Source organism: Homo sapiens, chromosome 8 (genome assembly GCF_000001405.40).
Source record: "Homo sapiens chromosome 8, GRCh38.p14 Primary Assembly".
Classification (NCBI taxonomy): domain Eukaryota; kingdom Metazoa; phylum Chordata; class Mammalia; order Primates; family Hominidae; genus Homo; species Homo sapiens.
The window spans coordinates 82587444-82614445 of NC_000008.11; the positions used below are offsets into that span (position 1 = coordinate 82587444).

The 27002-nt window shown below is 33.8% G+C and overlaps 1 long non-coding RNA gene across 1 annotated transcript in view; it reads left to right on the forward strand.

The window, feature by feature from the left end:
- The window catches only part of LOC105375931 (uncharacterized), a 190238-nt gene that overhangs the window by 144721 nt on the left and 18515 nt on the right, over window positions 1-27002 (forward strand). Inside the window, exon 3 of the long non-coding RNA XR_929115.3 lies at window positions 16084-16187. This is a non-coding gene — a long non-coding RNA (uncharacterized LOC105375931). The remainder of the gene's footprint in view (window positions 1-16083; window positions 16188-27002) is intronic.

Consider the following 27002-nt stretch of genomic DNA (forward strand, 5'->3'; position numbering starts at 1 on the left):
GAGCTAAAATACTTGATTACATGGAGGTAGGAGTAGAATGAAAGATAGCAGAGGCTGCAAAAAGCATGTGAGTAGGAGAGAGGAATGAAGAGAGGTTGATTAATGGGTACAAACATAGAGTTAGACAAAAGTTATTAAGTGTAATATTTAATAGCAGAATAAATTGACTATAATTAACAACAATATATTGTATATTTCAAAGTCACTACAAGGGAGAAAATAAATTGTTCCCAAAACATAAAAATGGTAAATACTCACATGTATTTGGATACCCCAAATACCCTGACTCTATCATTAAACATTCTATGTATGTAACAAAATATCACATATAGCCCACAAATATGTAAATGTTATGTATCAATAAAATTAAAATAAATAAAATAAAATAAAAATGACCCATGAGAGAAAAAAATAATGTGGACTTTATTAGAAATTAAAAAGTAAAGAATTCTACTCTGAAAAAAATAAACAGTGTTAAAAGAATGAAAACAGAAGCCACAGAATGGGGAAAAATATTGCAAAATACAAACCTGACGATGAACTCATATCCAAACTATACAAATCCACTATGACTCCACCATTATAAAATAAATAGCCCAGTTGACAAATGGGCAAAAGATATGAAGAGAGAGTTCACCAAATAAGATACACATAAGGCAAATACGCATTTGGAAAGATGCTCAAAATTACATGTAATTGGAAATCGCAAATTAAAGCATACCTGTTGTAATGACCAAAACCTAAAACACTGATGACATCATATGTTCTTGAGAATCTGGAGCAACAGGAACTCTGATTCACTGATGGTAGGAAAACAAAATGATACAGCTGCTTTAGAAGACATTTTGACATTTTCTTACAAGTGTAAAGATTGGCTTATCAAAAGATCTAGCAATCATGATCTTTGTTACTTTTTCAAATAAGTTGAAAACTGATGTCCACAAAAACATGCATATGAATATTTATAGTAGCCTTGTTCATATTTGCCCCAAATTGGAAACAACCAACATGCACTTCTATAAGTGAATGGGTAAACAACTGTGGTACATCCAAAAAATGAAATATTATTCAACAATTAAAATAAATGAGTTATTAAGCCTGGAAAAGACAGGGAGAAAACTTAAATGCATACTACTAAATGAAATGTCAGTCTCTAAAGACAACAGAGCATGAGTCCAGCTATATTCTGGAAAAGGAAAAACTGTGGAGACAGTAAAAAGATGAGTGGTTTCTAGGGAAGCAACCTGAAAGGGGAAGAAAGGAGAGATAAATCAGTGGATCATAGATGATTTTTAGGGCAGTGAAACTATTCCATATGATAATATATCACTTACTATCTGACATGCATTTCTCAAAACCCATTGAACTGTATGACATAAACAGTGAACTCTAATATATAGTATGGAGTTTGTTTAATAATAATATATTGATATTAATTAATCAGTTTTAACAAACACACCACATTAATGCAACATGTTAATAATTGAGGAAACAAAGGGTGATGGGGAGGGAGGTAGTATATGGAATTCTGTATACTTTCTGGTCTTTTTTTCTGTTAACTTTAAAACTCTCTAAAAATAGAGCCTATTTTTAAAAAATCAGTAGTCTTTCAACAGGAAGTTGAATAGGAAAAATGGTGATTATTTCCCTTTGCTTTTTCATGGAATGTGGAGAATGGAAGCTTAAATAAGGAGGAGAACACATTTGTTGGTACACAACAAATGGGAATGAATTGCAGGTATAGTATTATATATCGTGGAGAGGAGTTTATGAGAGAGGACACATTGGCTCATAGAGGTGTGATTTTATTGGAAACCAAAATACCATGAATAGTGTTATTTTTCTGTGTATTGAACAACCCCTTTTAAAGTTCTGAACAATACCAAGTATAATCTTCCCTTGATTTATTTATTAAGGCTACCACCAAAATCCAACCTAATAACTCTTGGGCATTTTTAAAATTTCTGTTTAACATTGAAAATTATTTAGCAAGGAAAATAGAGCCCCAAACAAATAAGTGACAATAAAAGGAAAATTGCAGATTATTAAACACACTTCAAATAAATTATAATCCTTCTAGTAGCATGACAGCCTTAACTCCTTGGATTTACTGAATCTATATGCAGCTCCTTCGAGGGGGTGAAGGGAGCTGGCACACACAGAATGGTGACTCCTAGTTAGAGGCCAAATCATCTGCATTTGATACCTGAGGTTCCTGTCCAATGACTCATCAACACAATGTTCTTGCATTTTGAAGAGATGTCATGTGTGTTTTGTGCAGGTATCCCCAAAGTTAAGAACGTACAGGCGAACTACAGAATAGACAAAATATAACAATGTATATATAGAAATTTCTCTCCTTGTCAAACCAACCATTGCTTTTTGACTGAAAATGCCCTTGGTTCAATCCTAGAAGAACCATGTATCTTCTAGAACACTAGTTCTCTCTCACTGTCAGAGAAATTGTTGTAAATAATTTATGAATTTTAATAACACCTCATTACTTAAACAGGAAATATTTCCTTTCCTTCCAAATTAGTAATAAAAATATATCTTAAATGTACTGAAGTGTTATTAGAGCTTTATTCTGAGAGTTTCTTATGCTGTATCTGAATATATTATTTGTGAATGATAATTTCGCTAAGCTGCTGTAGTGGCTGTATGTCTTAGGAATGCAGCAAGCTTTCTGGTAAATCAATTTGTGTTAGCTGTGCAGCACAGATTTGCAGCAGCATAATTCAGACTGACTTTTCCAAATAATACTTCCTCTGACAACACTTTCAAAGTGGTAAGATAGCTTGGAAAAGTACAGAATTGTCTTGAGATATCACATCCCACAGCAGAATAGTTGCAAAACTGACAAAATGGAACCTAAATTGTAATGTGATATAGTAAAGTAGCTGATAGATTGCACTCTGCACCGAAAATTGCTAACTCAATGCCCAATAGAGAAATCACAGAACTGTAGCAACAGTAAGAGAAAAGTTGCAACTCTATGGGGGAAAAACACAAATGAATATGGGGGTAAATAAGTAGTATTTTCCAACTTGGTTATATATACAGTCATTCTTTAAATTACCAAGGTGACATAGAATGTTGAAGAAAATATATATGTTACCAGTTGAAACATTGTAAGTACTAATTAAACTCTTGGTCATTTGTTTAGTGTGTTGTATAATGTTATTTTAAGATTAAAGGGAAAATGGTTTTGGGGTGTGAATGGCTAGATGTTATGTTTACTGTTAGTTGAAGCCTACAGATAATTTACAATGTGATTTAAAAATCTCATACTTCCTTTTGTAAATACCATTTTTTCCATAGGTAGTTATGCTCATGACATAAGGTGTTAAAATATCACAGAGTATTTTAAAAGACATTGGAATTTTTTTCATATCTGTGATGGGAAGTGATTGCATTTTTGGAAAATTTGGGGGAAAATAAAGGTTCTCATGAGATGACACATCACATATAAATTATTTTGCCCTTCAGCTAACTTTATATTTATTGTAATCTGACATTCCACTTTATATAGAAAGGTTTAATTTGAGTTTCACTCAATACTACTATTTATTTAGTTATTATTGACAAATATTTTATTGCTGTGCAACCAAAAATGCTTTGGCTACTGATGTATACATGCTTTAAGATGGATGTGCCTATAGCTGCTGAAAATAATGCTAGACACATAGTAGATCTTTAATATTGTTGATTGAGTCATTGATTGGATTTTTAAATCAATACATAGAAAAGAAGCAAAGTGAATTGTGAATCCTTAGACGTTTAGTTTGTCTTATAAAAGAGGCTGGTGACCTTTGCAGCTCCCATTTTCATTTGTATATCTTACAGTTTTGAAAGCAGGTTTTGACCACTATGCTTAAATTCCATCTTACATTAAAGATCATTTGAAGAATGAGAACTCTTGTTTCATAAAATATGATTGACAATTACTCTTCTGCATCCATCTCAAATAAATGTTTTATCCTACCTTTTCCTATTGTCCCCAAACCAGACCATCTTAAAAATCATGCTGTCAATACATGACTGAATGATTTTTATATTACTTTTTATTTAAAGCACAAAATTTCATACTTTGAACAATGAGTGATAAGGAAGCTTTATTTCCTACCAAGAGTGATTTTAGCCTTGGGGGGAAAATAAGTCTCTCAGTTTTAGGAAAAAGGAAAACATGTTTTGCCATTTTAAGGAGAAGTATTAAGTATTCACATTTCTATATTTTGAGCCTTTGGAATAGAGAACTTACTATATTTTCCAGTAGTTCACATATATTTTTCTTGTATTACAAAATAAAAACAAGGCGCAGCGTGGTGGCTCACGCCTGTAATCCCAACACTTTGGGAGGCTGAGGCAGGCAGATCACTTGAGGGCGGGATTTCAAGACCAGCCTGGACAACATGGCGAAACCCTATCTCTATTAAAAATACAAAAATTGGCCAGGCATAGTGGCACTTTCCTGTAGTCCCAGCTACTTGGGAGGCTGAATCATGAGAATCACTTGAACCGGAGAGAGGGAGGTTGCAGTGATCTGAGATCGTACCACTGCACTCCAGCCTGGCAACAGAGAAAGACTCTGTCTCCAAAAAAAAAAAAAAAAAAAAAAAAAGAAAAGAAAAAAAAAGTATAAAAGAATAGAAATAAGAGAAGTATAGTCAACAAGATGAATAGAAACCTATAAACAACCAGTCAAAGGAAGAGAAATACATGAGCTGTTAATGTGAAATAATTCTTGGGATTTGTTCTGATTATTAATAAGGCATGCTTATTTTTACATGTCTCAGTCCATTTGGGCTGGTATAGAAATCGTAAACTGGGCAGTTTATAAACAACGGTAATTTATTTCTTAGAGTTCTGAAGACCCGGAAGTCCAATATCAAGGAACCATCATTTTTGGTATCTGATTCAGAATGGTGCTTTCTATCTACGTCCTCACATGTGGAAAGGGCAAGGAGTTCAACTCGTTCTCTTTTATAAGGGCACTAATGCCATTCATGAGTGATCCACTGTTGTGTCCTAACCACCTTCAAAAGGCCCCTAATACCCTCCCATTGGTGATGGTTCCAACATATAGGTTTTGGGGGAACACCTACATTTCAACAATAGAAAGACATAAATGAGATTAGGAATTTCTGGTGACTGTCCCCTGAACTGGGTCAAACAAAGTTCAGTGCTGTTTTGTAAACTGGAAATTATCTTCTCCTGCCTTAGATTTAAATCTATAGTAATATTGAGAAGTGTAGTAATGTAACATTATTTTTAATGTGTTAGCATTGCAAATAATAAACAGCAACACCAAATTATACTGAATGAAACAGTCTGTTTCTGAGACTCCTCTGAAAACTTCCTGTTGCCTTTTATTTGGCAAGTTCAGCTATACATATCTGTGGGTTTGTCATTATTGCAATTTATTTGTTTCTTTTTAATTTTTTCCTATTTTTATCTTAAAATTCATCAGTTTCTTCAACATTTATTTGTATAGACACTCTGTAGCAGTCTATAAACATTTGCTGAAATCTGTGGTATAAGGCTTATAAAAGAAAAAATATAAAATATTTGTAACATTATACTTTTAGTAAAATAAATCTTGTCTGGCTTTCTGATAGTAGTATGGTTTTCTAACATATCACACTGAGAAAATGGAGAGATAGTTATTTGACTTTTTTTTTTTTTTTTACAAATTCCTACTTTATTATAAACTGTGTAAAACTTTACTGACTTACTTGATAAAATTTTGCTGCATGGACACATAATTCGATACGTGCTGAATTTTCCCCTGGGCATATTAGTTATTAAAAGATGGTGAAGAGCATGGGCTAATTCCAGCTGTGCTGGGTTGATCACATGCTTATCTTCAGATTTGTGTGAAGAAACATGATGGTGAATTTTGGCTAAGAATATATAGAATGTATCAACTAGAGATCGGTGATGTTCTATAATCATGAATCTGTTAGCTCTTTTGGAGGGAGGATGCATTAGCATGTCAGCATTTTTTGATAAGAACAGCTAGATTTGTGACTGACTTTGGTAGAGCTGGGAGTTCTTCTACTGTAAAAGCAGGTCAGGCATTTCTGCAACCTGCTTTCTATAAGAGAAGTCCAGCAGGAGAGGACTTCTGGTTTTCTGTTCACAAGGGGCTTCAAGACCTGGAGCCAAAGTTTGTCCTGTGAGACCCAGTGATATAATGAAGGCTGCACCTGCTCTCTCCAAACCATTTTCAATGTATGTCCTTTCCTTGCTGGTGCTGTTGTGTTTCGTTGCCTATAATAAATCTCTTTCGGAATAATAAAAACAAAAACAAACAAACAAAAACCAGAGTCTTGTTTTTCCAGCAATTGAACACTTAAGGCAATTACTATAGAATTAATATCGAGGTAAACAAGAAAGCCAAAAACCAGCAAAAACAAAAATCCTAGCAGTAAAGTAGAAGAGTGGACCAATGATATGATTAAAGAAACTGTAAAGATGTCTTTATAATGCTGCAAGTTAACAGTGGTCTTTTTAGAATAGTTTAATTGAAACAAGTTGTGGTATGGAGGAAGAGATGATCAAAAACTAACTGGCCTTTTAGAATTGCTACTACGTAGTCCTCTGTATATCTTTTATTTTATTAGTATACTTGCATGTTTATCTCTTAATTACCTACTCTTAATTGTATATTCTTAATCTCAGGGTTTATGTTATTTTAACATGGAGACCAAAGTGTTATTTAATTAATAATACTGCACATGAGTGAATTTAAATTACTCTCTTTGTTATAGAATTATTAGAGTGTTCATTTAACTAGGGCATCTCCTTCTTCAACCTTCATTGTGGAAATGAAAGTAAAAAGGAAAATTGACATCCTTTGAATAAATAGGGTAAAGAGAGAGACCGCCTTGCTTACAATATCCATGTTTAGGGTTGGTGCTTGCTATGGATTGAATTGTGGTCCGCCAAAAATCTGTAGTGTATTTGTCACCCTTGATTTGTTGGTACTTGGGGATGGGGACTTTGGGACACAATTGGATGAGGTCATGAAGGTAGTACTCTAATATGATGGGTTAATGGCTTTATAAAAAGAGGAAGATTTCTCTCTCTTTCTCTCTCTCTCCTCTCTCTTTCTGCTATGTGAAGATACAGTCAAGAAGAGATTATATGCAAGCCAGGAAGAGAGCCTTCACCAGACTCACCCATGCTGAAGCTCTGATCTTCACTAGAACTCACCCATGTTGGAGCTCTGATTTTTCACTAGAACTCACCCATGTGAAGCTCTGATCTGGGACCTCTAGCCTCCAGAATTCTAAGAGATACATTCCTGTTGTTTAAGCTACCAAGTCTATAGCATTTTGTTATGGCAGACTGAATAGACCAAGACAGCCTTTTTAATGTGTTCACTGTTAGTGTTGTTTCAGGACACCAAATTCTGAAAGAATTCCTATTTGAGCCTGAGCTAACTTTAGGAAAGTTGAATGACTAAGAATGCTAGCATGCTTTAAGTATGACTTGTTTGAGACTACTTGGAATTTCTTCATTTATGTAAGCCATTCTGAGGAAAAAGAGGAGTCAGTTAAAGAAAGCTTGACTTAACAATGGGTAGTCACTGCATGGCTAATTTTTTTAACTTTATAATGGAAATACTACTCAAATTCACCTCAATCACTTCTCCATGTGTATCTTATAATTATATATGCAATTATAAAATATATATTATATATTAAATGTACATAATTTTATATATCATTTATATATTTATACCTATATTAATTTTTATATAGATGATATTTTAATATAATTATAAATATTATTTGTATTTCTATATATTGTATATAAATATATATTATATAAATAAATTATATTTTAATTCTGACAGCGAGAATTGAAGAGAGGAGGACAGGGCAGTAGTATACAGTAATGAAGATGAGAGATGTTTTGGAGAAATAGTTTTCTAATTCACACTTATTGCTATCTAAGGATTAGGTTTCCAAGAAATGCAAAACATAAAACTTCTAAGCAGGAAAAGAGAAATCTGGAATTAACATTATGAATCTAAAATGAAAGTGGCCAAGCTACTTTGTATCTTTGTGCCTATCTTTGCTCAAATGTATTCGTTTCAGAATGTGAATGTATGTAATATACTGAATAAAAGTTAATACAATTATCATCCCCATATAATACCTATTTATTTCACCTGTACAGTTTTGATTTTGTGTGTGTGACATAATTTGTTTGCCATAAGAAGGGCAATTTTTCTGCTATTTGTTTGTATAATTTATTTTACACGAAAGAGAAAATGTCATCTTATCATTCCTTCAGTATTAATTTGTATTATATGGCATAAGCATATATGCTCATTTATGTTCTGATATTATTTACTTGATTCTGCTACTCTCATTTTCCTCTTTGGTAAGGTTAGCCCATAAGCAGCAGGGATTCTCTTCTGATTCTCCATGCCATACAGCTTACCTGGGCAATCTCTCCATGTGATAAAGGCCCACCCCATTTTGGAATTGTGCTATTTAGTTGAATTTATATGAAACATTTCATTTAACTCTCAAACCAAATTCCCTGCAACTTTTACTTTGTTACAAATGAAAATGAGTTCCATTTGCCATTCCCACCTTTCCCCCCTTAATTTTGGAGAAAGAAGACATGTTCTTTATTTGATTCGTTTTGAGACAACTTTTTAATTTTGTCAGTTTGATGCCTGTGTGGTGCATCTCAATGCTATGCTGGCTTGCATTTCACTAATTTCTGTAGTGATCAAGTATCTCTTCACTTTTTCTTTTCTTTTTCTTTTTTCTTCCCCCCACCCCATGCCCTGAGATGGAGTCTCGCTCTGTCACCCAGTCTGGAGTGCAATGGCATGATCTTGGCTCACTGCAACTTCCACCTCCCAGGTTCAAGCAATTCTCCTGCCTTGGCCTCCCGAGAAGCTGGGATTACTACAGGTGTGCGCCACCACGCCCTGCTAATTTTTGTATTTTTAGTAGAGATGGGGTTTCACCATGTTGGCCAGGCTGGTCTCGAACTCCTAACCTTGCGATTCACCCGTCTCGGCCTCCCAAAGTGCTCAGATTACAGGCGTGAGCCACTGTGCCTGGCCCTTTTTTTCTTTTCCTTTTTCTTTTTTTTTGTAATTTTGGATTGGTTTTCTGTGTCTTAGTATTTTCAGGTGCTACAACAAATGACCATAAACTGGGCGGCCTAAATACCAAATTTAGTTCTCATGGTTATGGAAGCTGGAAGTGTGAGATTAGGGTGATACCATGGTTGGTTTCTTGGTGAGAGAGAGAGAGAGAGAGAGAGAGAGAGAGAGAGGAGAGAAAGAATGAGTGGGCATGGGGAGAGAGAGAGATATCTACTGCCTCTTTTTTTTTTTTTAATAAGGCATTAATCCCATTAGGGGACCTAACTAGCTCTTATTACCTCCTAAAGGCCCCAATTCCAAATACCATCACATTGACAATTTATTTTACACGAAAGAGAAGATGTCACTTTATCATTCCTTCAATATTAATTTGTATTATTTGGCATAAGCATATATGTTCATTTATGTTCTGATATTATCAACATATCAATTTTGAGACACAAACATTCCTTCAGTCCATAGCATTCTGAAAATCAACTATTCTAATCTTTGCAAGTTTTTTTCTATCATTGTCTCTTCATGATTTTCATGAAATTCTTGTGTATAAAAATTATTTTTCTTCAGAGTTGGGTGCAGTGGCTCACACCTGTAATCCCAGCACTTTCGGAGGCCAAGGCAGGCAGATCTCTTGAGTCAAGGAGTTAAAGACCAGCCTGGGCAGCATGGCAAAACCCCATCTCTACTAAAAATACAAAAAATTAGGTAGGCCTGATGGTGCATGCCTGTAGTCCCAGGTACTGGAGAGGCTGAGGTGGGAGGATCTTTGAGCCCAGAAGGTCAAGGCTGTAGTGAGCCAAGATCATACCACTGCACTCCAGCTTAAGTAACAGAGTGAGACATATTCTCAAAAAGATATATCTGTGTGTATATATATATATACACACATATATGTGTATATATATACACATCTGTATATATATACAGATATATATGTATGTCTGTATATATATGTATATACAGATATATATGTATGTCTGTATATATATGTATATACAGATATATATGTATATATATACAGATATATATATACACAGATGTGTGTATATATATGCACACACACATATTTATACACACATATATATATACATATGTATGTATATATGTAAGTATATATACACATATATGGATATATATCTATATATAGATATATATGTGTTTATATACGTATTTTTTCTTCAGTCTATGTTACACATTCAAACTATAAATGTTTTTAATATATTAATTTTAACTTTCCCTTCCCTCTTCCTGAAAAACAATTCTTAATTTTCATTAAATCAAGTTTAGCAAATATTTGACTAATACTTTGTTTTGTTTTGTATTATTTAGTAAGTCTTTCACATTCTCCACATCCACAAAGACATATTTTCATGTTCTCTTTATTTGATTAGATTTTTAAAATTTATAGTTTGCTTTTCCTTTAGGCATATAATTCATATGGTTAACTTTTCTATGCAATGTTTGTAAAGAGAGTTACGATGTAGCTTTATTATTTTATATATGTCATTATCTCCAATGCCATTTATTAAACATGCCATTTCTCCATTGATTTGTGATACTTTTATCATACATTATATTCCTATACAGATAAATCAGATTTTAGTCTTTTATATTCTATTATTCTGATTGTATTTTATCCACAGGCATATTTTGTTTGGTTTTGTTTTACTTTTTAAGTCTTTATACCAAAATTCTTATCTGATGTGAATTTACCATCTGTGCTGTTTTTTCTCCAAACTTATTTACCTATTAATGAAAATGTAGTGTTGTATATAAATCATAGGATGTGTTTTATATATATACATATATGTGTGTATATATATATATATATGTTATTCATAATCCAGGTATTTTTATTTGGATTTATTTTCATGAATAAGTTAAGGTGTAGAGAACTGAACATGAACATATTTGGTTATATCTGTTTTATGAAGTGTGTTTTCCCCAAATGCAAAGGAGTACTTGGCATGTAGTAGACATTGAATATATGCTGAATTTTTTTTTACATTTGTTTTTCATGTTTTTGCATTTGTTTTTTACATTTACTCAGGCCATTTACTTTTGTTAATAAATTTTTTTTCTAAAGATCTTGAACAGTTAAATCCAAGAAAATTCACAGATTTTTCTGAAAACATAAGCATTACTATTTTCTAACATAAGTTCTAGTGTGCTACTATGCTAGAAAGAAACAGTACTTTATGGTTGATCTTGTATTTTAGAGCATTGTTGATTATCTTATTTATTCTAAGTTTTTATTAATTATTTGTGTTAGCTCTTTCTCTGACATTTTCTCGTTCAGTCCTTATTTCTCTTATTTCTTTTCTTTGGCTACAGATTTTTAGTATTGTTGATAATTGGTGACCTCCCTTTTTAAAACGATCTTTAGAGAAATATATCTACAATTAAATATAATGTCTACCATAGGTTATCTTTTCTTTGTTGTTACATTTCTATTTTTTCTTTCTTCATTTTTGACTTTCTTACATAAATAAATTTTCTTGTAATTCAGCTTGTTATTCTAGCCCATAAAATGAATTATACTTTGAAAAATATCTTTTAGTTCATTAATATAAATTGTATTGACAGAGTTTCTATACCACAGATGTCCTTGCATTTATTTTTGTTTTTTTTTTGTTTGTATGTCTTGTGTCCTTGCATTTCTGTGATACTTTTTTCTTTACCTTTATCTAACTTATATGAATGGATTATAATTATATAATAGATTGCTAGTTATTGTTAACTTATAGACAAATATATACACTGTATCACTTTACTTTCATATGTGAATAGGACTTTTAACTTATTTCGTACACTCTCAATGTGTGGATTTGAAGCCAATATTTTAATAGACACTAAAAATGAAATGGAAAATTTTCTTTTTTATTTTTATTATAAAATATATAATGGAAATTTTAATGTTTCTCAAAATTGTGCACAAGTTGATTACTAACTCTGACTAGTGTGGGGATATTTAAGAAAATTTAATTTATATATAAATTTTACTAATTATTGTTAATCAATTTTTTCTTACACTATCTTGAAAGTTAATATTTTCCCCAAAGTATACATTTTTAGCTAGGTTTTCTAATTTATTGGTGTGTAGTGATTTATAAATAATTATATTTGAAAGGCATGTTTGTACTCGGTGTTTTCTCTTAGTCACTCCATATATTGTTTTACTCACAATCCCTTTTTATTTTTTCAGTCTTGCCATGAAATATGTTTTATTCATTCATTCAAATGTCATCTTTCATTTACTAACCCTTTCAACTGTTGTTTTATATTTCATTGATTTATGATCTTAGTTTTTGCTTCATAGTTTTTAATTAAAGCTGCTTCCTTTGTTTAGTGAAATATTTGTCTTATTGTTACCCTTTTATTCTTTTTTTGGTTTTGTTTGTTTGTTTGTTTGTCTGAGACGGAGTCTCGCTCTGTTGCCCAGGCTGGAGTGCAGTGGTGCGATCTCGACTCACTGCAAGCTCCGCCTCCCTGGTTCATGCCATTCTCCTGCCTCAGCCTCCTGAGTAGCTGGGACTACAGGCGCCCGCCACCATGCCCGGCTAATTTTTTGTATTTTTAGTAGAGAAGGGGTTTCACCGTGTTAGCTAGGATGGTCTCAATCTCCTGACCTAGTGATCCGCCCACCTTGGCCTCCCAAAGTGCTGGGATTACAGGCGTGAGCCACTGCGCTGGGCCGTTACCTTTTTTTTCTATGGTTTTGTTTATAGCAGCCTGTCATTTGGCATAGAAGATACTCTATCTTTGTCCACTTATTATCAGCAAGTTTTAAAAATATGTCTTGATATGAAATATGTGGTCATAAAATTGCAAGGTACATAATGTTAGCTCTGAAGTAAATATATTTAGTGAAATTTAAATAGCTGATTAAGTGGAAAAAATAAACAGGTATATGCATTCTGTAAAACCATGTTGAACACTTCAGACCAGCTCATCTGTCAGCTGACAACTCCATGAAGAGAAAAACAAGCATCCCAGCTGAGTCTGTGTACATGCCTGACTCACATAGAATCCATGAGTTAAAATACAATGGTTTTGTTTTAAACCACAAAAAATTATGGAATATTTAATTCAGCAATAGATGTATGGAACATAATTTGTAACTGAAGGTAAGGCATTTACAAATAAAACTTAAAATATTTGGCGTTGGCTTTGGGACTGAGCAGCTGAAAAGCTAGCAGGGCCTGGAGGAAGACTTCAGAAATTTGATGGTTCTCATTATGTCTGTCGGTGAAAGCTTAAAGAAGGGAGGGAAAAAAATAATAATTGGAAGCTGAAGGAAAAGAAGCAGTGTTATATAGTGGCAGAAATTTTAACAAAATTTTCAGCTGTGATAACATGAAAAGTGGGAAAATGTACCTAATGAATAGATGGATTTGACCAAGACTATTTCCAGGCAGGATATAGAAAGCGTCAGTTGGTTTCTTTTAGTTGAGATTTGTAAGATGCTAATAGAGATATGATAAAGGAAGAATTATTCAGTTATAGAGCAGAATGTAGAGGAAATATAAAGGAATAAGGTTAGCTGGGTTAGAAAATACAACTATATATCATCCCAACTCTCTCAAGCAGAAGTTTCTGTAACTTGGAAAGGGCCTCTGGTTAAGGAGGAAATCGCTGCTGTTCTCAGTAAAATATTCTTCAGATAAAGATGAAACCAAGTGTTTACCTATTACACCGATTTGATCCTCAGAAAAATTTAAAGTGGTTCCTAATAGACCATTTCCAGCAGAGAAAAGGGCTTTCAAGGTTTGCTTTGGCCCTCGGGTTAATCTTTGGGTTGAAATTTAGAACTTCAAAGATTCTCTCATGTTTTCTCCTACAGCCATCTCATAGCGACCCCAAGGTAGAGGATGGCTCCCAATAGAGAATGTGCATGTGTCCTTTCTCTCGAAGAGAGTGGATTATAAATTGCTTTATAAAAATCACACAAGGTTTTTGAAAGACTTGTAGAATTGAACTGAAAAGGACAGAGACAGTAAATAGTAGATAATTAATAAAGATCTGTAGATCACAGATTTTTTTTGGACAGGAAGCACAGTTAGAAAAGTACTCAATTGTAAAGATGGGTTATTTCTTATGGAAAATAAAAGAGGATTTAATGAGAGAAAATAAGAGCTGAGAGGGTGGAACCAAGTCATTCAAATGATCTCGAGAGAGCAGTCATGTGTCTGCTTGGATGTCAGATATTGTACAGAACAGTGACATTTATTTCCATTTTCAAAGAAAAATGCCCTGCAGTTGCTATGTCTGTACCTTTGTTGTAGAATGTGAATATGAAGCAGATAATTTTAATCTTTAGATCATAGGTCTTTGGCAGAAGGGCAAATGTATCTGACAAGACATCAGACCTCCAGAGCCTATATTTCAATGCTAAATAGATGTGTTGAGAGAGGTAATCCTTGCTTTGCTACTGATACTACAGGGAAATGATGCAGTCTTTCAATATTTAATGTGATATCAACTGTAGATTCATGGTATATGCCCTTTATCAGGTTGAGGAAGTTTGTTTTATTCTTAATTATATCATGATTGGGTGTTGAATTTTGTCAAGTGCTTTTTTTTTCTGCATCCATTATTAATCCAAAAATAGAAAAGAGGAATGTTCTAAGGTGCATTATTTTCTTCCTTCTTCACGTTTTTAGTTAAGATTGCTTTTCTTTTTCTAGTTTCTTGAGGTTGAAATTTAGATCATTCATTTAAACAATTATTTTCTAATAAGAGTATTTAGTTCTATGAATGTCACTCTGACAGATTTTATAAATTTTGATATGGTCTATTTTTAGTTTCATCAAATTTAAAATATTTTCTAGTATCTTTTATGATTTTTGACTTATTAGACATTAGACATATTGGACTTATTAGACATGTTTACTTACATTTCTGATATTTGTGAGTTTTGACAAATATGTTATTGATTTCTAGTTCAATATACTGTGAATAATTTCAGTCATTTTACATTAATTGAAAATCATTTTGGCATTAAATGTTTTATCTTGTTGAATATTACTTGTACAATTAAAATGAATATGTGTTCTAGTGTTTTGGGGTGGAGTTATCCATAAATAATTGGATTGGTTTGCTTAACAGTTGTGTTCAAAAGTTGTATATCCTTACTAAATTTCTCAGTAAGTAATTTTAATAAATTATTGAGAGAGGTATTAAAATAGTCCATTATAAATGATATTATTCTATTCTTTTAATTGCCTCATTAATAATTTCAATCTCAGTTATTAGGTATATACACATTAGTTTTGTTTTAGCCTCTTGATAAATTGATCTCTTCATCATTATGAGAAGTACTGCTGTATCCCTGGAATATTCCTTGCTCTGACGTTTACATTGCCTAATATTGATATGGATACTCTAATTTTTCTATATGTATTCAGTGTTCTCATAGTATAACTTTTGCATGCTTTTGCTTTTATCAGAAAAGTATATTTACATGTAAATACATTTCTTAAAGATAGCACATAATTGAGTCTTTAAAAAAAAATTCTAAAGCCGGGAGCAATGGTTCATGCCTGTAATCCTAGCACTTTGGGAAGCTGAGGCAGGTGGATCACTTGAGGTCAGGAGTTTGAGACCAGCCTTGCCAACATGGAGAAACCCCGTCTCCACTAAAAATACAAAAAGTAGCCAGGCATAGTGGCGCATGCCCGTAATCCCAGCTACTTGGGCCGCTAAAGCAGGAGAATTGCTTCAACCTGGGAGGCGGAGATGGCAGTGAGAGGAGATTGCACCACTGCACTCCAGCCTGGGCGACACAGTGAGACTGTCTTAAAAAAAATACAAAATAAACAAAAATATGTTTGAGATCTGATAGTTTAAAAATATATATTATATATGTGGAGAACACATATGAACTATGTTCACCAAGAGGAGATTTACTACAAATATATTTTTTATTTCTTGTTTCCTTCAAGCTCTGAGTGAGTTTGAAAGTGGATCTTCTGAAGCCTTCCAACAGTCATGTGTGGAATCTGGAAGTGCATTTTTGAGGCTTTCCCATAGCCATCTGAGTGAGCTGGTAAGTGGATTATTTACAAAAACTTAGGATGACTGCAGCTTCAGTTGATGTCTTGATTGCAGGCCTGTGAAACCTATTAAATCAGAAGCACCCAGCTCAACTATACCCAGGTGATTGACCTACAAAATATGTGAGATTTTTAAAAAAGTTTTTTCAAGCTACTAAATATGTGATAATCTGGTATACAACAATAGTTAATGAATTTACAGATTTCTTCTCATATTTTATGATAGAGTTTATTCAAGACAGTTCAGGACTTGACTGAACACTGTAAGATTAAAGACAAAAAGGATGCCATACATATGTTGTATGTTGATAAATTTCTCATAAAGGTATGAGTTAAACATTCAAAAACAGTTGTTAGAGAGAGACATTATAAATAAAAAGTGGACAGGCTAGAATAAATGGTGTGGTGCTAGATTGGAGTCAGTGGTATCAATATGTACTCATTTTATGTATAAAAATACAGAAAAGGTGGAATAAGTACATGTCTGTGTATAAGCATGTGTGATTATACATGTGTCTCTTCTGTGAGTAGAAGCAGTGACACCACAATAGCATTGAGCACACCTGGCACCAAGAACATAGTTCCTAAATACAATTCTCCAATTAAAGAAGTCAAGATTCCTTGGAGAACTGATTGATTTTAAGCCCCAGCAGGGAAAATACTAAATAAACTTGAGGAAAAAGAGCCTGTTGGCAGGCTTCAGGAGGTCCACTTTCAAACTCAATCAGGGCTGTTGGAAGGCCTCAGGTCCTTGGTAAGCATTAGAGCTACTCACTGCATGTTATTTGCTTCCCTCTTGTTTGCCTGAAGGAAATAAGATATACTAAAAGAAATTCTTTTTAGAATGATGAGCATTGAATGTAGTATATTTGAGGAAAAAAAATTTATGCCGGGCATAATAAGTGGCATATTAAAAATATGGACATTATGAGAAAACCACTGAATTTGGAGTAAGTCTGTGCTTTAGTAAATAGTGCTGGGCCAAGGTTAATTGCTTACGGTTTTTAAAATATTTTATTGTTATATAAAACATCAGTGTAAGTAGAAGCTGGAAGAAAGATAAACAGAAAATCTCTGCATTGTTTTTGTACATTTCTGTAAGTCCAAAATTATATAATTACTCTCCCCCAAAATTTAACATCAATGAAATTTTATTTAAAATTGCCTTTTATTTCACAAAAACTCTTCTTATAAAAAGTGAAACTTAAAATAAAAGAAATAATCTGCCTCATATAGGAGTCAATGAAGAGACTTAATAAACATTGCTGTTGGCTGCTATAGTAGCGTGTTACAATATAATTAACTATAATATTTCAGATTGTTAATAAGGAAGGTGGCAAAGATACTCAAGGATTTTCAGATATAAGCCTGATAGATGCACAGAAGCATCACTGTGTAAATTGAAATTACTGTAGCAGGGATATGCAGAACAGATTCTAGCAATTCTTTCATCGAGGTATGTGGCAGATGGACTCATAGTGTATGTGGCTTAGTGCAGGGGAGATTCTGTTAATAGACCAATAGTTCCAACAGCTGACACGTTCCGGAGACATAATGGTCCATCATATCAATGATCAGTGACCTTAAAGGCTATAAATATACTGTAACTGTCTTTTGTGTCAAGAATCTGCAAGCTAAAGGATGCCCAAGAACCATAACTTGCTTACAGTCCCTAAATATGACTCTACGTGATGGACTGTGACTGCTGAGAATGAGCCGTCATCATCTACTGGATCAGTAATCGGCATTGTTAATATTCACAGGAGTTGTGCTGCAAAATCCTCCATACTTGCCAGTAAAGGAAAAATGCACCCTTTGTCCTTCCCTTGTCTAGGTTAATTGTTTTTAAAAAATGTAAACTACCATGTCTTGAAATGCTGTTACCAAAGTTTATCAGTAACGTCTTCATCAAAGGAGATAAAATAGATTTTAGAATCTCTTTAATAGTATACAGAAAGAAACTTTGTTGAGGAAATCTTTCTTCCTTCTCGCATCATTCCCACAATATTTTATAATCCTAAGCATGGCAATATTCAGCAAAGCTCTTTCATTTCCTGTCTAAATTATAAGTACATTATTATCTTTTTATTTGGATAGTCACAAAATGGAAGAATAATGGTAACCTTGTTGAACAAGAACAAGCATAAACTTGTGTCATTTATTTCCTTATACTGTAGAAAATTGCCTCAATTTTTTTATTTACATACAAAAAATAGGTTTTCTCATGGGTAAATTCCCATTATTTCAGAATCGCATTCCATCAGTTAGAAAAATTGTTAAATTTTACCTAGAGTAAAAAGGAAAAATCTAGCAGACATGTTTGGAACTATAAAAGTACTGGACCCCATTGTTCTGAGCTCCAAATATATACACACATATACTCATACACTGACTCTGATGAGTAGCCATAGAAACAAAGGACTGATATTCTCAGAAACACTGAGATTAGTTGCCAAATATATACTAAGAATAAGTTATTATGAAGAATGTGGATCTGGACTAAATTTAAAATGCTTTTCTTTATCTTTCTTGTTGGCTCTTTAGTTTGAATTATTCAAATATCATTATAGCTTACTGATACCATTTAAAAAACACATGAATTGGTTGCGCCTATTAAAACACACCTGAAGAAGCAGACAAAATAATAGAATAGACATAACTTAAAAATGAGGTATGCAACAAAGTAGTTATGTTGTATGAAAATGATCACAAAGTAAAAATCAGAGAAACAATGATTTATTTTTAATGCAATATTGCATTAAATAATTAATTATTATGGAAAGAAAACTTGCTTTCATCAGCTTATGCTTCTAAATGATTAAAGGTAACATCATCATGTCACAAGCTTGCTTTTAGCAATACGGTAAAAGCAATTTTGACTACTACACCCTGATAAATAATGTAATGATACTTACCTAAAAATATGTGTTGTGCATACTAAATTAGATGTTAAAACTTCAAGGCATTTGTGGAGTCAACAGTGCTTTTTCTACTCTGAATAATATTTGGAATACATTAAATGTTTGTCAAGTTGGCAAATATAAATGTCCTTTAAATCATTGAAAAATACAGAGGATAATTTAAAAATAAGAATTATCTCACGCAATATAGTTTCTTTAATCATATAAATTGTTTCACTTGGTATAATAAAAAGAACAGTGGATTCAGAATCAAAAGAGCTGGGTTTGAATGCCAACTTTAAAAATATTAACTATATGATGTAGATAATATGAATTTGTTCTTTTAATCTCTGTTTTCTTCTGGGGTAGAATTAAACATTGTGAACAAACATCCACTTTACAGAACTTTACTAATATAAAGCAATATTATTCTTGTCACTGAAGTTTTTTATTTACAAAAGGTATAATTTAGACTTTGATGCATACATTTCTGTGGATTTTAGCAAATTCATAGAGTCACACGTCCACCACCATAGCTGTTATGTAGAACAGTTCCAGCAATTCAAATATTCCTTTGTACTGCTCCTTCATAGGCTCTGCTATGCTTCTATTTTACTGTTTGATTATTCCAGATGTCACATAGATGGAATCAAATAACATATAGCAGTTCAAGTCTGCTTTCTTTTACTTAAAAAATGCTTTTGAGATCCATCCACATTTTTTCATATATCAATGACTCACTCTGTTCTTTTGCTTAGTAGTATTCCAAGTCTTTTATACTATTAATATGTATGTGTATACCAAAGTTTGTCACTCATCAGTCACAGGACATTTGGGTTGTTTTCTGCTTTCTGTGAGTATAAGTCAAGATGTCATAAATATTAACATATAAGTTTTGGGTAAACATACATTTTTATTTCTTTGAGTTACATATGTAGGCATATAATACTATTATTAGTTATATGTTGAATTCATAAGAAACTGCTAAACTATTTTCCAAAATGATTCCATCAGCTTTCAATCCCAACAGCAGTATGAGAGTTCCAGTTGCTCTGTATCCTCTCCAGTACTTGATATTGTCAGCTATCTAGTACAATGCTATCATTATTATATTTTTGCTGGGAAGATGGCATGTTAATAGGTGTGCAGTGGTATCTCATTGCAGTTATAATTTGGGTATCTCTAAAGGTTAATGATATTGAAAATATTTTTATATTATCATTTGTTATTCAGACATCTTTTTTAAAAAATCATTTCAACTTTTATTTTAGATTTAGGGGTACATGTGCAGATTTGTACCTAGGTATATTGTGTGATGCTGAGGTTTTGGATATGATTAATCCCATCACCCAGGTACTGAGCATAGTACCCAATAATTAACTTTTAACATCTCTTGTCTCCCTCCCTGCCTCCTCCCTCCAGCAGTCCCGTGTCTATTGTTCCCATCTTTATATAAGCCCCCATTGTTTAGCTCCCACTTACAACTGAACATGCAATACATAGTTTTCTGTTCTTGCATTAATTCACTTAGGATAATGGCCCCTAGCTGCATCCATGTTGCTGCAAAGTACATGATTTCATTCTTTTTTATGGCTATGTCATATTCCACGTAGTAAATATACTACATTTTCCTTATCTAATCCACCATTGATGGGCATCTAAGTTGATTCCACGTATTTGCTATTGTGAATGGTGCCACAATGAACATATGAGTACATGCATCTTTTTGCTAGGAGAGTTTGTTTCAGTTTTGTTTTGTTTTGTTTTTTATGTATAACCAGTAATGGATTGCTGGGTCAAATGGTAGTTTTGTTTTAAGTTCTTTGTGGAAAGAAATCTCCAAATTGCTTTCCACATTGGCTGAACTAATTTACATTCCCACCAACAGTGTAGAAGCATTCCCTTCCCTTTTCTCTGCAGCCTCGCCAATTTCTGTGGTTTTTGACTTTTAATAATAGCCATTCTGACTACTGTGAAATGATATCTCATTGTGGTTTTGATTTGCATTCTCTGATGATTAGTGATGTTAAACTCTTTTTCATAGGTTTGTTGGCCATTTGTATGTCTACATTTGAGACGTATCTGTTAACATCTTTTGCCCACTTTTTATTTTTTATTTTTTGCTTGTTTAATTAAATTCCTTATAGACTGTGGATATTAGACCTTTGTCAGATGATGCATATTGTGAATATTTTTTTCCATTCTGTAGGTTCTATGTTTACTCTATTTATTGCTTTTTGGCTGTGCAGAAGCTGTTTACTTTAATCAAGTCCTACTCGTCTACTTCTGTTTTTGTTGCAATTGCTTTTGAGTATGTAGTCATAAATTATTTCCTAAGACTGATGTCCAGAATGGCATTTCCTAGGTTTTCTTCTAGGAATCTTCAAGTTGTTGTTATTACATTTAAATCTTTAATCCATATTGAGTTAATTTTTGTTTACAATGAAAGGTAGGGTTCAGTTAGATTCCTCTGCACATGGCTAGCCATTTGTTTCAGCGCTAATTATCAAATAAAGAGTTGTTTCTCTATTGCTTATTTTTGTTGACTCTGTTGAAAATCGGATAGGTTTAGATGTGCAGTTTTATTTCTGAGTTCTCTATTCTGTTCAGTTGGTCTTTGTGTCTGTTTTTGTACTAGTTCCGTGCTATTTTGGTTATTGTAGCCTTTAGTGTAGTTTTAAGCCAGATAATATGATGCCTCTGGCTTAGTTGTTTTTGCTTAGAAGTGCTTTGGCTATCTGGGCTCATTTTTGGTTCCATATGAATTTTAAATATATTTTTCTAGTTCTGTGAAAAATAATGTCGGTAGGTTGATAGGAATAGCATTGACACTGTGCATTGCTTTAGATAGTATAGTCAGTTTGACAATACTGATTCTTCCAATACATAAGCATGAAATTCTTTTCCATTTGTTTTTCTGATCTGTGATTTCTTTCAGTAGTGTTTTGTAGTTTTCCTTGTAGAGATGCTTCACTTTCCTGGTCAAATATATTCCTAGGCATTTTATTTCAGTTTTATTGCAGTTATTGTGAATGGTGTTATATTTTTGATTTGGCTCTCAGCTTGAATGTTATTGAGGTATAGAAATGGTTCTGATTTTTTTACATTGATTTTGTATCCTGAAACTTGACTGAAGTCATTTATCAGTTTCTGGAGCCTTCTGGCAGAGTCTTCATGGTTTTCTGTGTACAGAATCATCTCATCAGTAAAAGAGTTTGACTTCCTCAGCCGGGCGCGGTGGCTCACGCCTGTAATCCCAGCACTTTGGGAGGCTGAGGCAGGCGAATCACGAGGTCAGGAGATCAAGACCACCCTGGCTAACATGGTGAAACTCCGTCTCTACTAAAAATACAAAAACTTACCCAGGCGTGGTGGCGGGTGCCTGTAGTCCCAGCTACTCGGGAGGCTGAGGCAGCAGAATGGCTTGAACCCGGGAGATGGAGCTTGCAGTGAGCCGGGGTGGCACCACTGCACTCCAGCCTGGGCGACAGAGCTAGACTCTGTCTCAAAAAACAAACAAACAAACAAACAAACAAACAACAAACAAAGAGTTTGACTTCCTCTTTTCTTTCGAATGCCGTTTCTTCCTTTCTTCTGCCTGATTGCTCTGGCAAGGACTTCTAATACTACGTTGAATAGGAGTGGTAAGAGTGGCATCCTTGTCTTGATCCAGTTCTGAAGGGGAATGTTCCTAGTTTTTGCCTATTCAGTATAATGTTGGCTGTGGGTTTGTCATAAAGGGCTCTTATTATTTTGAGGTATGCTTATCATTTTGAGGTATTGCTTATTATTTTGAGGTATGTTCTTTCAATGCCTAGTACCTTGAGAGTTTTTATTTTGAAGGGATGTTGGATTTTATGAAAAGTTTTTATGTGTTGGTTGAGATGAACATATAGTTTTTATTTTCAATTCTATGCCTGTGGTGAATCACATTTATTGATTTGTGTTTTTTGAACTGACCTTGCATACCAGGAATGATACCAACTTGATCATGGTAAATTAAGTTTATAATGTGCTGCTGAATTCAGTTTGCTGGTATTTTGTTGAGGACTTTTGTATGTATATTCATCATGGACATTGGCCTGTCATTTCCTTTTTTCATTGTGTCTTTTCCATGTTTTAGTATCAGGGTGATGCTGGCATTGTAAGATGAGTAAGGGAGAAGTTACTCCTCCTCAACTTTTTGGAATAGTTTTAGTAGAATTGGTACCAGCTCTTTTTTCACATCTGGAAGAATTCATCTGTCAATCCTTCTGGTCCGAGACCTGTTTTAGTTGGTAGGTTTACTAATGATTCAATTCTAGAACTCAATATTGGTCTGTTCAGGATTTCAATTTCTTCTTTGTTTGTTTGCATAAATGTGTTTATAATAATCCCTGGGTATCTTTTGTATACCTGTGGGATCAGTTGTAATGTCACCTTTGTCATTTTTTCATTTTTGATTGTGCTTATTTGGATCTTTATTTTTTTCTTTGTTAATCTAGCTAGAGGTCTATCAATCTTATGTATGCTTTCAAAGATTTAAATTTTGGTATTTTTGATTCTTTGTATGGATTTTTTGGTATTAATTCTGTACAGTTTGGCTCTGATTTTAGTTATTTCATTTCTTCTGCTGGCCTTGGGATTAGTTTGTTCTTATTTTTATTTTATTTATTTATTATTATTATTATTATTATACTTTAAGTTCTATGGTACATGTGCACAGTGTGCAGGTTTGTTACATATGTATACATGTGCTATGTTGGTGTGCTGCACCACCCATTAACTCGTCATTTACATTAGGTATATCTCCTAATGCTATCCCTCCCCACTCCCCCCACCCCATGACAGGCCCCGGTGTGTGATGTTCCCCACCCTGTGTCCAAGGTTCTCATTGTTCAGTTCCCACCTATGAATGAGAACATGCAGTGTTTGGTTTTCTGTCCTTGTGATAGTTTGCTGAGAATGATGGTTTCTGCTTCATCCATGTCCTTACAAAGGACATGAACTCATCCTTTTTTATGGCTGCATACTATTCCATGGTGTATATGTGCCACATTTTCTTAATGCAGTCTATCATTGATGGACATTTGGGTTGGTTCCAAGTCTTTGCTACTGTGAATAATGCTGCAATAAACATATGTGTTCATGTGTCTTTATAGCAGCATGATTTATAATCCTTTGGGTCTATACCCAGTAATGGGATGGCTGGGTCCAATGGTATTTCTAGTTCTAGATCCTTGAGGAATCGCCACACTGACTTCCACAAGGGTTGAACTAGTTTACAGTCCCACCAACAGTGTAAAAGTGTTCCTATTTCTCCACATCCTCTCCAGCACCTGTTGTTTCCTGCCTTTTTAATGATCGCTATTCTAACTGGTGTGAGATGGTATCTCATTGTGGTTTTGATTTGCATTTCTCTGATGGCCAGTGATGATGAATATTTTTTCATGTGTCTGTTGGCTGCATAAATGTCTTCTTTTAGAAGTGTCTGTTCATATCCTTTTCCCACTTTTTGATGGGGTTGTTTGATTTTTTTCTTGTAAATTTGTTTAAGTTATTTGTAGATTCCGGATATTAGCCCTTTGTCAGATGGGAAGATTGTAAAAATTTTCTCCAATTCTGTAGGTTGCCTGTTCACTCTGATGGTAGTTTCGTTTGCTGTGCAGAAGCTCTTTAGTTTAATTAGATCCCATTTGTCAATTTTGGCTTTTGTTGCCATTGCTTTTGGTGTTTTAGTCATGAAGTCCTTGCCCATGCCTATGGCCTTATTTTTCTAGTTCTTTTCTTCTATGGTTCTTATTTTTCTGGTTCCCTTAGGTATGACGTTAAATCGTTCATTGAACTATTTCTAACTTTTTGAGATAGGCAATTAACTGTATAAACTTTCCTCTTAATACTGCTTTCGCTGCATCCTAGAGATTTTGATATGTGTCTCTATTTTCATTTATTTCAAATGATTTTTTTTATTTCTGCCTTAATTTTGTTGTTCATCCAAAAGTCATTCAGGGTCAAGTTATGTAATTTCCAGGTCATTTTGTGGTTTTGAGATATCTTCTTGGTGTTGATTTCTATTCTTATTCCACTTTGGTCTGAGAGTATAGTTAGTATGATTTCAACTTATTTTGTATTTATTGAAACTTGTTTTAAGGGATGCATGTGGATGATCTTGTAGTATGTTCCATGGGCAGATGAGAAGAATGTAAAATTTGTGGCTGATGGATGGAGCCTTATGTAGATGTCTATTAGGTAGAGTTAGTGGCATGTCAAAGTTAAGTCCAGAATTTCTTTGTTAGTTTTCTGCCTCAATGATCTGCCTAATGCAGTGGGGTGCCAAATTACTCCACTATTATTGTGTGGCTTACTAAGTCTTTTCATAGGTCTAGAAGTACTTGTTTTATAAATCTGGGTTCTCAAATATGGGGTGCATGTACATTTAGGACAGTTAAGTCTTCTTGTTGAATTGAACTCTTTGCCCCTTTGCCATTATGCAATGCTCTTCTTTGTCTTTTATTTTCACTATTGTTGGTTTAAAGTCAGTTTTATCTGACATAATAATAGTGACCCTTGCTCTCTTTTGAATCTGCTTGCATGATAGATCTATCTCCAACCCTTCAGTTTAAACCTATGGGTGTTGTTACATGTAATATGGGTCTCCTGAAAACAGCAGATGGCTGGGTCTTGTTTTATTTATTTATTTATTTATTTATTTATTTATTTATTTATTTATTTATATCCAACTTGCCACTCTGTGTCTTTTAAGTGGACTGTTTAGACCATTTACATTCAAGGTTAATATTCACATATGATGTTTTGACCCTATCATGAACTTGTTAGCTGGTTGTTTTATAGTATATATTATATGATTGTTTATAAAGTGTAAGGAATATATATGTACTTATATGTGTTTTTGTGGTAGCAGGTATTGTTCTTTTGTTTCCATGTTTAGAAATTCCTTAAGAATGTCTTGTTATGTTGGTCTAGTGTTATCCGAATATGTTATTTGTCAATGTTTGTTTACATATATAGGGTTATATGTTTTCTCATGTCTGAGTTTTGATGGTTTGTTATATATTCTGAAAAATTTGTTTTCCAGTAATGTGATTTACAAATATTTTCATTCTTTCAACATTCTTTTTTTGTATAGAAAAAGTTTTTATTTTTGAAGTCCAATTTATTTTTATTCTTTCTTTTTTTTTTTTTTTTTTTGAGACGGAGTCTTGCTCTGTCACCCAGGCTGGAGTGCAGTGGCGCATCTCGGCTCACTGCAAGCTCTGCCTCCCGGGTTCATGCCATTCTCCTGCCTTGGCCTCCTGAGAAGCTGGGACTACAGGTGCCCGCCACCACGCCCAGCTAGTTTTTTTTTTTATTTTTAGTAGAGACGGGTTTTCACCGTGTTAGCCAGGATGGTCTTGATCTCCTGACCTTGTGATCCGCCCGCCTCAGCCTCCCAAAGTGCTGGGATTACAGGCGTGAGCCACCGTGCCTGGCCAATTTATTTTTATTCTTAAAGGACGCCATTTTTATAGTGTATCTAAAAATTATTTGCTTAACACGTTTGCAAACATTTTCTATGCTGTTTTCCTCCAGAATTTAAAAATTTATAACTAGGCTCATGATCCACTTTGAAGTGATTTTGTATAAATTGTGAGGTCTAGGTCAAGGTTAATATTTTGCATATGGACATCTAACTGTTCCACCACCATTTGTTTAGAAGAGGCTATAGTTTGGATATTTGTCCCCTCCAAATCTTATGTGACAGTTTGATCCCCAGTGTTGGAGGTGGGGCCTAATGGGAGGTGTTTGGGTCGTGGGAGTGGATCCTTCATGAATAGATGAATACGTTCTCTGGAGGTTCAGTGAGGGATTTACGTTCTCTGGAGGTTCTGGAGGCTCAGTGAGAGAACTAACTCTGTTAGTTCTCTCAGT